Here is a 12247-nt window from a genome sequence, read left to right as displayed (position 1 = left end):
GATCCAGGGATTAGGAGTGGAGAAAGGTTTGACTACCAGGAGAAGTATGAACAAAGTGTTTGTGGGTGGAGGAGTTGTTTAGGATCCTGATTGTGTTGGTGGTGGTTACACAGATCTGTGCAAGCATAAACCTGAGTACCAACAAAAATGAATTTTACCTTATGTAAATTAAAAGACACATATCTAAGGACAAATATATGAAGGTGCAGCGGTGGCTCACGCCTGTAATCCCAGCACTTTGGGAGGCCAAGGCGGGTGGATCACCTGAGGTCAGGAGTTCGAGACCAGCCTGGCCAATATGGCAAAAACCCATCTCTACTAAAAATACAAAAATTAGCCGGGCATGGTGGCACGTGCCTGTAGTCCCAGCTCCTCGGGAGGCTGAGGCCCGAGAATCACTTGAACCCGGGAGGTGAAGGTTGCAATGAGCCGAGATCACGCCACTGCATTCCAGCCTGGGTGACACAGCGAGACTCTGTCTCAAAAAAAATAAAAAGTAAAATAAAACTTTTTTTTTAACTTTTATTTTAGGTTTGGGGGTACATGTGCAGGTTTGTTCTGTTGGTAAACTGTTGTCATGCGGGTTTGTTTCGTCACCCAGGTACTAAGCGTAGTACCCAATACTTATTTTTTCTGATCCTCTCCCTCCTCCAAACCTCCATCCTGAGGTAGGCCCCAGTGTCTATTCATCCCTTCTTTGTGTTCATGAGTTCACATCATTCAGCTCCCACTTATAAATGAGAACATGTGGTATTTGGTTTTCTGTTCCTGCGTTAGTTTGCTAAGAATAATGGACTCCAGCTCCTCCATATTCCCAGAAAAGACATGATCTTGTTCTTTTTTATGGCTTCATAGTATTCCATGGTGTATGTGTGCCACGTTTGCTTTATCCAATCTATCATTGATGGGCATTTAGGTTGATTCCATGTCTTTGCTGTTGTGAACAGTGCTGCAGTGAACATTCCCGTGCATGTATCTTTATGGTAGAATGATTTCTATTCCTCTGGATATATAGGATTATAAAATCAGAGTTTATTCACATAGATGAGTTTTTTTCCTTTGGTGAGCTGGAGGGTACTTTCTCTAGAAAGTGCTAAATAGACTTTTTATTTTGTGTCTCTACTTTAGCTTTTTTTAATGTTTCATGACACTTTTGAATGCTTAAAATGATTATGTACGTAGTTTATTTGGAGTTTGGTGGAAGTATAGAATTTTTTCTTAAGCTGTTACTCCCTTTTAAGAAACAAGAATGGGCAAATGATCCCAATTTTATGGTGAGTTAACATCAATAGAATTTTTAAAGGCTTAGAACGTAGTTATCTCAAGCAGCCTGGTTTGTTATTCTGAGTAATGGCATTTGGAACAAGTGTACTTTTTAAACAAAGTGATACCTCTCACTTATGCTTCTGGGTTTGGTTTTGTTTTTTAGACACAATGAGGCATATACATGGACAAATCCCACCTGCTGTGTGCATAATATCATTGTGGGTAAACTGTGGATCGAACAGTATGGCAATGTGGAAATTATAAACCACAAGTAAGGCACCTTGGGTACTTCGTCCATTCCTTCAGTTTTCATCAAGCAGTTTTAGTGGACATCAGTTTTTTTGTTTTGTTTGTTTTTAAAGAAAAGCTCTAGAACAGGCTGATGAAAATTTAAGAATCATGCAATATATCTGGGCGCGGTGGCTCACGCCTGTAATCCTAGCACTTTGGGAGGCCGAGGCGGGTGGATCACGAGGTCAGGAGTTCGAGACCAGCCTGGCCAAGATGGTGAAACCCCGTCTCTACTAAAAATACAAAAATTAGCCGGGCACGGTGGCGGGTGCCTGTAATCCCAGCTACTCAGGAGGCTGAGGCAGGAGAATTGCTTGAACCCAGGAGGCGGAGGTTGCAGTGAGCCGAGATAGCGCCACTGCACTTTAGCCTGGATGACAGAGCAAGACTCCATCTCAAAAAAAAAAAAAAAGGATCAGGCAATATAACTAACTCTTGAATGACTAGAAGCCCATTTATTTAATAAAGAGGGTTCATTAAAGTCTCTGATTAAGGAAGACTGGGTGAACCCAGCTTACCCAGCTTCTGTGAACCTTAATTCCAATCTCAGCTCATTTTGCTTCCTTTGTTTAGTGGGGGCCAGGGAGACAGGGCATAGGAGTTACTAGAAAGAGCTGGGCTCCCATTCTACTTTGTGACCTTAGGCAAGTCATGTATTCTTTCTGCCCCTCACATACCTTTTCTTTATGGTGGGAAGATTACCAATTGAGGATTAATCATTATCACTTTAGTATGGAGCCTGGCACACAGAGAAAATCCATAAACAGTAGCTGCTGCTAGAAAAGTGATCACAGTTATTTTTCTCTACTGCTGCTTTGCTAATAAATGATAATCTGAACTTAGTATTTTCTTTATAGGACTGGGGACAAATGTGTGTTGAATTTTAAGCCATGTGGCCTTTTTGGTAAGGAATTACACAAAGTTGAAGGCTACATTCAAGATAAAAGGTAAAATTTCTCTTTTAAATGTTGAATAGTATAGATTTTGTTCACTAGATAAAATGTCGGTATTAAAATACATTGTCGGCTGGGCACAGTGGCTCACACCTATAATCCCAGCACTTTGGGAGGCTGAGGTGGGCAGATCACGAGGTCAGGTTCAAGACCAGCCTGGCCAACATAGTAAAACCCCATCTCTACTAAAAATACAAAAAAATTAGCCAGGCATGGTGGTGGACACCTGTAATCCCAGCCATTGGGAGGCTGAGGCAGGAGAATTGCTTGAACCTGGGAGGCGGAGGTTGCAGTGAGCCGAGATCGCACCACCACACTCCAGCCCAGGTGACAGCGAGACTCCATCTAAAAAAAAAAAAACAAAAAAAATTGCCATAACCTAGGAAACAAGCATTCTAATAAGTTGAAGAATCTTTCTTCTACAAGGAAGTTTATTTCATTAAAGAACCTGATTTGGTTGAGCACAGTGGCTCACGCCTGTATTCCCAGCACTTTGGGAGGCTGAGTGGGGAGGATTGCTTGCAGCCAGTTCGAGACCAGCCTGGATAACATAGTGAGATCCTGTCTCTACAAAAAAACTTCTTTTTAATTAGGCAGGCGTAGTGGCGCATGCCTGTGTACCCAGTTACTCTGGAGGCTGAGGTGGGAGGAACCCTTGAGCCCAGGAGGTTGAGGCTACAGTGAGCCATGATTATACCTCTGTACTCCAGCCTGAGTAACAGAGTGAGACTCTGTGAGTCGTACACACCTTTATAGTAATATTCAATTGCAGCAAAACAGTCTATGGCGATGCCACCCTGAACACGCCTGATCTCATCTGCTCTTGGAAGCTAAGCAGGGTCAGGCCTGGTTAGTACTCGGATGGGAGACCGCCTGGGAATACCAGGTGCTGTCGGCTTTAAAAAAACAAACACTGGTTTGTTAACTAAACATCAGTTTTTCTTGACAGCAAAAAGAAGCTCTGTGCCCTCTATGGGAAGTGGACTGAATGTTTATACAGTGTTGACCCTGCCACGTTTGACGCTTACAAAAAAAATGATAAGAAAAATACAGAAGAGAAGAAGAACAGCAAACAGGTGAACATCCTGTAAGGTGGTATCGAAGGAATAACTGGATTCTTCAATGTGTACTAATCCTTTTGGAGGTGGCCTGTTCTAGGGTCACAGTTTAACTTTCTTCTTCCTTGTTGCTAATGCATGTCACTTTTCTCTTTTTAATGATCAGACATTTGCTTTAACAAGTACTCGGCATAGCCTTGTATAGGATGTGGACACCTATCAGTTTTTTAACTGTGGAGCAGTTATATGTGGAGCTTTGCTTTAATTCACATAGCTTTGGAATGTTGGAGTTCATCTTAATGAAACATTTTCTTTTCCTCCTGTTTATGTGCATTGAAAGTTGAAATTGTTGAAGATTTAAAATTTCCTCCAAAAGTCTCTCTGACATTTTCATGCTTATCATCAGTTTTGTTGCCTTGTTCCTTATCGTGAAATTACCGAAGTTAAGATGGTCGTAGTTAAAGGAGTCATCCCTGGGCTGCTTTCCTCTTACTAAACTTTCTTCTTTGTGGGATAGTTAAATCCCAGTAGGGGAGGCACATACGTGGCTTCTTGTCGCGTGGTCCCAAACAGGCTCCAGTGGTTAGCAAACTCCTGCCCCTTCCCTCCTGGCATAAATGCTCGAGGACTGCACCTCTTTGGACAGGAAATATTTGAGGACGGATTCCTTTCCAGTAACCAAGACAATGGTTCCGAGCACAAACTCTGGGTTAGAATCTTAGCCCCACCGGTGATGAGCAGTACAAGCCGAGATTTCTCATCTCTCTGCCTCACTGCCTCCATTTGTAACACGGGCACTATAATAGCACCTACTTGTTAAATGAGTTAACAAACATAATGGGCTCAGAATAGTATCTGCTCATAGTAAAGACTGATAAAGTCATTTCTGCCAAAAGTACTTCCTCGGACTGGCATCTTGAGCATCATCTGCGAGCTCATTAGAAATGCAGGCGGCCCAGCTTCACCTCAGACCTACCGAAGACCAGTCTCTGGGGCTCTTTAGCGTTTCTTATGCATGTGAAAGTTCAGGAAGCCCTAAGATCCCTCAAAAGCAGAAGGTGTATTTATGAGTGACTTTCTTTGTAGACGGAGTTAGCCTTGCTCCCAAAGTGAAAAGAGGTTTATTAAACGGCCGGAGCATTCTGCTTTCCTGTGGCTGGGACTGTTTCTTTCTTTCTTTGTTTCCCTTTAGCTGTGTGTGCACAGTTCTGCTTCCCTCTTTATATCCCATGTTCCTGCCCACGGGAACTGTGCACCAACTGTGCTCTACAGCCAGCAGGAAACTGATGGGGCTGAGAAGGGCATGTCCAGGATTCTGGGACCCCCGGCACAAACTCCTTGGCGGCAGCTCCTGCTAATAGGAGGCACCTTGACAAAGACGATCTCCCCAACATGCTTGCCTTCCAACCTCTTCACAGAGTGCGGATGGCTGAGAATGTTGCTGAAATTCCAGAGAACATTCCTTATATTCCCTAAATTCCCAGTCAGTCTGTGAAAAGTATTTTTTTTTCCCATTGGAGAGAGCAGGTATTCTCACACATCCACTGCTTTTCTGGTCTCTCTCATTCCTGTGTTCCTGTCATCTGCCTACCATGGATTTCTGACGTTCCTGAACACAGACGCTGCGGGAAGTTTGTGTCATTAGCGTTGTCACCTCTGTGCTATTTTGTAAACTGTATATTCACTGAATGTGTCTCAGCCAGTAGTTCTAGATTTGTTCACTGTGTGATGCTGGGACTATGACTTACCCTTCCAAAGCCTTCATTCCATATGTCTAAAAAGCGGTCGTGACCTCTCCTCGAGGGATTGCTGCATAAAGACTGCATACATACAGCACTAGCATAGCTGGGCCGCGGAGAGGGGAGCCCGAGGAAATGCTGGCTCCCTGTATTTCATCTAATGAAAAATTCTCTTTTCATCAGATGCATTCAGGATCCCTCCTGGTTTTGTGGCATCGATACATTTAGTTGACTTCCCCAAGAATGTAACCTTTTGTTGTTCTCAGATTGTTCCTCTCTGGTGTGTGAGCTCCACGAAAGTCAGGTAGTGATGGTGCTTCTCTAGCACCCCAGTTGCTGGGCCTCCAGTAGTTCCTTAGTAGATACTCAAATGATGCTTTGGGAGGCTGAGGCAGGAGGATTGCTTGAACCCAGGAGTTTGAGGTTACAGTGAGCTGTGATTGCACCACTGTACTTCAGCCTGGGCAACAGAGCAAGACCCTATCTCAAAAATATTAAAAATAAATACTCAAATGAATTATTTTGTCTTTAAGAAGGAAACAGCCTTAAAAACATAAAACCCTATAGGAACGAGTGATGATGATAATGACTTAAATGTGGATAACACTAAGTGGCACAACACACGAAGCTTGTGAGACTCTTAGCACCCACTCGGGCATTCAGCAGGTATCCGTTGGCTTCCCACACTGTGTTCAAAGTAAGGATATAAGAATTAGAAAGTCACAGTGTCCCTGCCCTCATGTAGTTTACATTCTAGTGGTGTGCAATAAACGATGATTTACAATTTGTAAGTGTATATGTATTTTCCTAAGGACAGGGATATGTTCTAAGAAATCATTAGGTGATTTCATCATTGCGCGAACCTCATACAGTGTACTTACACAAACTAAGATCGTGTATGTATTTTTATGTATATCTCTTTTTTCATGTGGAAAGCCAAAAGTCCTAACACCGTTACTGAGTATCGGTCATTTCCCTTACTTGATCCACAGTGCCAATATCAAATGCCATATAGCAGATTTCTATACATGCTCCGCTATAACCTTAGGGGACTGCCATCATATTTACAGTCTGTTGTTGACTGAAAATGTCATTATGTGGTGCTTGACTGTATCTTAAAACTTTCTACTTAAATTTTGTTCATTGATTGGTTTTTCTAGATGAGCACCTCTGAGGAGTTGGATGAAATGCCAGTGCCGGATTCTGAAAGTGTATTCATTATCCCTGGAAGCGTTCTTCTATGGCGAATAGCCCCACGGCCTCCAAATTCTGCCCAGGTGAGACTGGGCTTGCTGGCTGTGGCCTCACTGTCTGTGTTTAGCATTGTGGCGCTCTTTCCTGGCACGTGTAGGGTCGGCCCAGGCAGCATGGAGACAGGCAGGTTGGCATCCTGAGCCCCCACTGGCTCCCGGGTGCTCCCTTCTTGCCTGAGCTCAGCGCGTCGTAAGTGCATCATGCTGTCCATCCCTCTGGCATCTGGCTGGGAGGATGTGTTGGGTTAGGACTTCACTGGGGCTTCTTTAGTAGCTACTTAGCGGTAAAACTGGTCCTTATTAAATATAAGCTGGTGCAGCCTAGTCAGTACCAGCCCTCCAGACCCAGCAAGGAATGATTTTAATGAAGATAAAAGAATGTTGATTTTTGCTTAGAGTTCTATTTAAAGTTGATCATGATAGAGGATATTTATTCTGCAAAGCCTGCTTTGAGATTTTTTTGAGAGATACCCACAGATGGTGCAGATTTTGGTGAAAACATTTAGATACGTGTGATCTGAGAAAGACTGACCATTGTTACCATGAAAGGGAGGGGGTCATTGTCAAGTCAACCCTCTTCTACTTTCAGGATGTTTCATTTTGCATTATGCCTTGGCATATTTTAATTTCTTCCTTTTGCTTCTTTTCAGATGTATAATTTTACTAGTTTTGCAATGGTTTTGAATGAAGTAGACAAAGACATGGAGAGTGTGATTCCCAAGACAGACTGCAGGTTACGGCCTGACATCAGAGCCATGGAAAATGGAGAGATAGGTAACTAGCATCCGCCAAAGCCACCAGTGAAGACTCATTTCTCGGGGGATGATGCTTTGTTTATTCCTGGTGATTGTTAGCATCATTGGGGTACTAGCGTTTTTAGTCTCTCTTAGAGATTAAGTTTGAGTTAACATTCAATTTAAATTCAGTAACTTTTATTTTAAATTTGGAAATCTGCGCAGACCTTATTAGCTCATATTATTGTGGTAATACTCCCCTGAGAATTTAATATACTGGAGATGGCCAGAGGCATATTCCGACTAATAAAGTCACTGTCTACTTCAGAATTTACATAGCACCTTGTCAGCCTCAGAGGAGAGTGTGGCCTCCCCTTGGTTAAGTATAACTTACATGTTTTTGTGTGTTGGTATAAGTAGGTGTATATACTTATGTAGTATGTGGGATATTTTGATACAGGCATGTAATATGTAATAATCACATCAGGGTAAATGGGGTATTACAACATTTTTTTCTTTTTTTATACAGAGTCTTGCTCTGTCTCCCAGGCTGGAGTGCAGTGGCGCAATCTCGGCTCACTGCAACCTCCACCTCCTGGGTTCGAGCTATTCTTGTGCCTCAGTCTCCTGAGTAACTGGGACTACAGGCACGTGCCACCACACCCGGCTAATTTTTGTATTTTTCGTGGAAATGGGGTTTCACCCTGTTGGCCAGGTTGGTCTTGGACCTTCTGACCTCAGGTGATCCGCCCACCTCAGACTCCCAAAGTGCTGGGATTACAGGCTGAGCCACTGTACCCAGCCCATTTTTATCTTATAGTGTTAAATTTCTTCCAACTCAGTGGTTCTCAAAAGGGGGGCATTTTTCCCCCCAAGGAGACATGTAGCAAAGTCTGAAGACTTTGGTTGTCACTTTTTAGGAGGGACTGCTGGCGTCTGCAGGCCATGGATGCTGCTAATCATCCTCTCCCACACTAGGCAGCCTCTTATGATAGAGCCAGCACATCTAACATGTTATAGTGCCACAGTGGAGAAAAAGTGAGACACAGCAACAGTATTTTGGAAGACAGTTTAAATTCCTTAAGAATGGCATCTGAAGAAGCTCCGTGAGGTCTCCTAAGAATTCAGAATAATTTCACATTTATTTAGTTTTTGCACCCAAGTTTTCATTGAAGAATTTTAACACAGTTGTTTTGGCCTTAAGAATAAACACGTTGTTCTTGGCCAGGTTGTTAAGAGCATAGGCTGTGAAAGAGATGCTGCGTCTGTGATACCAGCTCTGCCTCTTACTAGCCCAGGTATCTGTTAAAATTTTTGCTTGATATTTGATTCTGGTATTTGTGTTCTAATAAAAGGGAGATAACATGTAGATATGGTTCTTTTGTGAAGTTCTTGTGCTTAATACTGTGCCTGGCATCCTCTGTGTAGAGTGTTAATGGTTTGTGTTGATGTTCTTATTTTAGATCAAGCTAGTGAAGAAAAAAAACGACTTGAGGAAAAACAAAGAGCAGCCCGCAAAAACAGGTCCAAGTCAGAAGAGGACTGGAAGACGAGGTGCGTGCCTGAGTCAGGGGGTGTGGCTGAGCCCTCAGGCAGGCTGCTGTGTGCAGACGAGGCAGGGATGCCAGACACTGTGACCCCAGAGCAAGGGCCTATCTAACACAAACCCTGCCGAGTTGTCCCAGGCCTGAAAAAAAGTTATTTCCACTGACTTTTATCCATTCATCCATTGATGGACACAGGTTGATTCCGTATCTTTGTTATTGTGAATTGTGCTGTCATAAACGTGGGGATGCAGGTATCCCTTTGATACATTGACTTCCTTTCCTTTGGATACCCAGTAGTGGGAGTGCCGGATCCTATGGTAGTTAAGTTTTTTTAAGAAATCTCTGGCGGGGTGCAGTGGCTCACGTCTGTAATCCCAGCACTTTGGGAGGCCGAGGCGGGCGGATCATGAGGTCAGGAGATCCAGACCATCCTGGCTAACATGGTGAAACCCCGTCTCTACTAAAAATACAAAAAATTAGCTGGGCGTGGTGGCGGGCGCCTGTAGTCCCAGATATTCAGGAGGCTGAGGCAGGAGAATGGCGTGAACCCGGGAGGCAGAGCTTGCAGTGAGCTGAGATTGCGCCACTGCACTCCAGCCTGGGCGACAGAGCGAGACTCCGTCTCAAAAAAAAAAAAAAAAAAAAAAAAAACCAAAAATCTCCATACTGTTTTCCATAATGGCTGTACTAATTTATATTTTCACTACGAGTGTATGAGCTTGCTTTTTTTGCATCCTTGCCAGCATGTTTTTCTTTTTAATAATTGCCATCCTAACTGGTGTAAGACGATAATCTTGTGGGTTTTATTCACGTTTCCCTCATAATTAGTGATGTTGAACATTTTCTCGTATCCTGTTGCCTATTTGTATGTCTTCAGAAATGTCTATTCATGTCTTTTGGATTATGTGTAGCATGGTGTATTAGAAAAATCATGGTCTTTAACCTTAAACCTAAATTTGCCATCAGTTACTAGGTTGGGCAAGTTATTTAACTGCTTGGACATTCAGCTTCTCATCTGTAAAATGGAAGTTTAAGAGTTTGAGGCCAGGTGCGGTGGCTCACACCTGTAATCCCAGCACTTTGGGAGGCCGAGGTGGGCAGATCATGAGGTCAGGAGTTCGAGACCAGCCTGACCAACATGGAGAAACCCTGTCTCTACTAAAAATACAAAATTAGCTGGGTGTGGTGGTGCATGCCTGTAATCCCAGCTACTCGGGAGGCTGAGGCAGGAGAATCGCTTTCACCCGGGAGGCAGAGGTTGCAGTGAGCTGAGAGTGCACCATCGCACTCCAGCCTGGGCAACAAGAGCAAAACTGCTTCTCAAAGAAAAAAAAAAAAAGGAGTTTGAAGGGCATTTACACTGAACCAGGTGCCTTACATACTGCTGTGGGTATGCTGTAAATGTTAATTTCCTTATCCTAATTTATTCCCAACTACTTAAAAAAATGCCTTGTGGAAAATAAGACCCAGGCTAGAGGGTAAACCCGTTAGACAAATACATTGTTTCGAGCCAACCTATTAGAAGACCCTGCTTCTGTCAAGTAGCTTGCTAGATCCTGGTGGGAAATCCATATGCCTTTTGCATGGTATCATTACCCCTTTTGGAATATTATTCCACAGACCTGTTCCCTACCTAAGCAGAAATACAGCATCACTTCAGCATCTCTTTAGAACTATCCCTCACTCACAGAATGAGTTGCTGCAATAGAATAATACTGCAAACTAGTGAAGAAACAGCCTGTGATTTTCCATAGTTTCCCCTGTAAGTCTTGTCCTTTTTCTTTTAACAGGTGGTTCCATCAAGGTCCTAATCCCTACAATGGAGCACAGGACTGGATTTACTCTGGCAGCTACTGGGACAGAAATTACTTCAATTTGCCTGACATTTATTAAAATGCATACAAGTCAGGGTGTTTGGCTAATCTACAAATAAGTCTTAAACCTATGTTTTTAAATTTTTTTCCCTTGGTTTCTACTTATCTTTTAAAAAAAAAAATGAAAAAACACTCATGAGATAACTGCATTTCACCCAACAAAAGCAGGGTATAAGGCGATATTGGTGATGAAAGTCTTAGGAAAAATGCATAATTTTGCTATAAAATGTACTTATTTGGAATACTATTTTATATAGAGGTAAGAGAACACTGCTGGGGAATATGCTTTTTATGGTTGCTGTTGCCATATTTACTGAAGGTTTATACCTAAATGTAACTTTAGCTTTATGGAACTATATAGTAATCCCAAATCAAGTTATTTTGAATATTTTTATGCTGTCATGCTTGAATGTTTTAGATGTAACCTTTGACATATTTAGAACTCTCCTCCTATACAATGTTTATTCTCAGATATAGAGGTTATGTCATTTTATAAAGACTTCATTGATAAGATGGCTTTTATTCATACTAATCCTCCCAATGTTACCCCTTCCATCTTCCAAGAAGAAAAAAAATGCCTGAATATTCAGAATAGATATTTCTGATTTGAAAATTCTAAAGAATTAAACTGGAAAAGTATTTCATTTACTTAGTGCTCTGAATTTACTTTTACAGTTTTCTGCAGTCAGTATCATTAAAATGGTTAAGTTTACATTTGAACTGAAAATATGTATAAAATCTAGCAATTCACAAAAATGCCCTAGAAATATAGATTTTAATCACCATTACATAATGACAAACCTTGTTAAATGCTTCCACTTCCAGTGGCAAATGCCACTAGGGAAAGTAAGTTGCACTCATGTAAGTATCAAACTATATAAAAGGAGGCCTTGTGCATTTCAAGTTTGCAAAGTACCTGTGTACTTAAAATATGTGTGGAGACCTACTGTACAGTAGTTTTGCCCCTTTAATTGGGGCACATTCATCTTAAATCTTATAGTATTTATCCACCCAAACCCCAGACTGAGATACTGCTCCCAGGGGCCTAGGTAGCTGCCAGTCCGTGATTTTAATTGCTGTCTTGAAGTTAACAAGTGTTATAATGAAATAATCTACCTGATGCTAAATAAAGGCTTTAGAATGTTCCCCAAAAGTGTGGTTTCTTTTAAAATTTCAAATATACTAATGTTGCCACTTAATACTATCCTAAATTGTTAGACGTGTCCTACGAAAGAAGTCCTTGTGGTACCATAGCTCCCAGGGTCAAGGAGATGATAACCAGTTACCTGGCATGCATAGTGGTAAGTAGGCATTTATCTATCCAGAGATTAACTGAATGCTAGATAGATACAGCATAGAGAGGTGCTACCGTATTCATTCGGTGTGAATCTCAAATGCAGAATCAAGTGGAACTACCTGGTTAGAAAATTTGTTACTAGATCTGTTAGAGTGGGAATAGTTTAAAAAAGTATACACATAGGAGTTGGAAAATGCTATTGCTTTATAAGTCTGAAAAGATAGATGATTGATAG

At 42.1% G+C, this 12247-nt stretch overlaps 1 protein-coding gene and 1 pseudogene across 5 annotated transcripts in view; both read left to right on the top strand.

Annotated features, from left to right (window-relative positions):
- OSBPL1A (oxysterol binding protein like 1A) overlaps positions 1-11868 on the top strand; it is a 235780-nt gene extending 223912 nt beyond the window's left edge. For 4 of the 5 annotated variants that reach the window (XM_017025530.2, NM_001242508.1, NM_018030.4 and 1 more), the window contains 7 exons: positions 1430-1537; positions 2415-2504; positions 3460-3586; positions 6468-6584; positions 7211-7334; positions 8758-8848; positions 10632-11868. In XM_017025530.2, the coding sequence (XP_016881019.1) occupies positions 1430-1537; positions 2415-2504; positions 3460-3586; positions 6468-6584; positions 7211-7334; positions 8758-8848; positions 10632-10734 (760 nt within the window). In that variant the 3' untranslated portion in view covers positions 10735-11868. The remainder of the gene's footprint in view (positions 1-1429; positions 1538-2414; positions 2505-3459; positions 3587-6467; positions 6585-7210; positions 7335-8757; positions 8849-10631) is intronic. The other variant, NM_080597.4, reaches the window with a different exon arrangement.
- Positions 3290-3408, top strand: RNA5SP452 (RNA, 5S ribosomal pseudogene 452; annotated as a pseudogene).

This window comes from Homo sapiens, chromosome 18 (genome assembly GCF_000001405.40).
Source record: "Homo sapiens chromosome 18, GRCh38.p14 Primary Assembly".
Lineage (NCBI taxonomy): Eukaryota > Metazoa > Chordata > Mammalia > Primates > Hominidae > Homo > Homo sapiens.
This window is presented reverse-complemented; position numbering and strand designations above follow the sequence as displayed.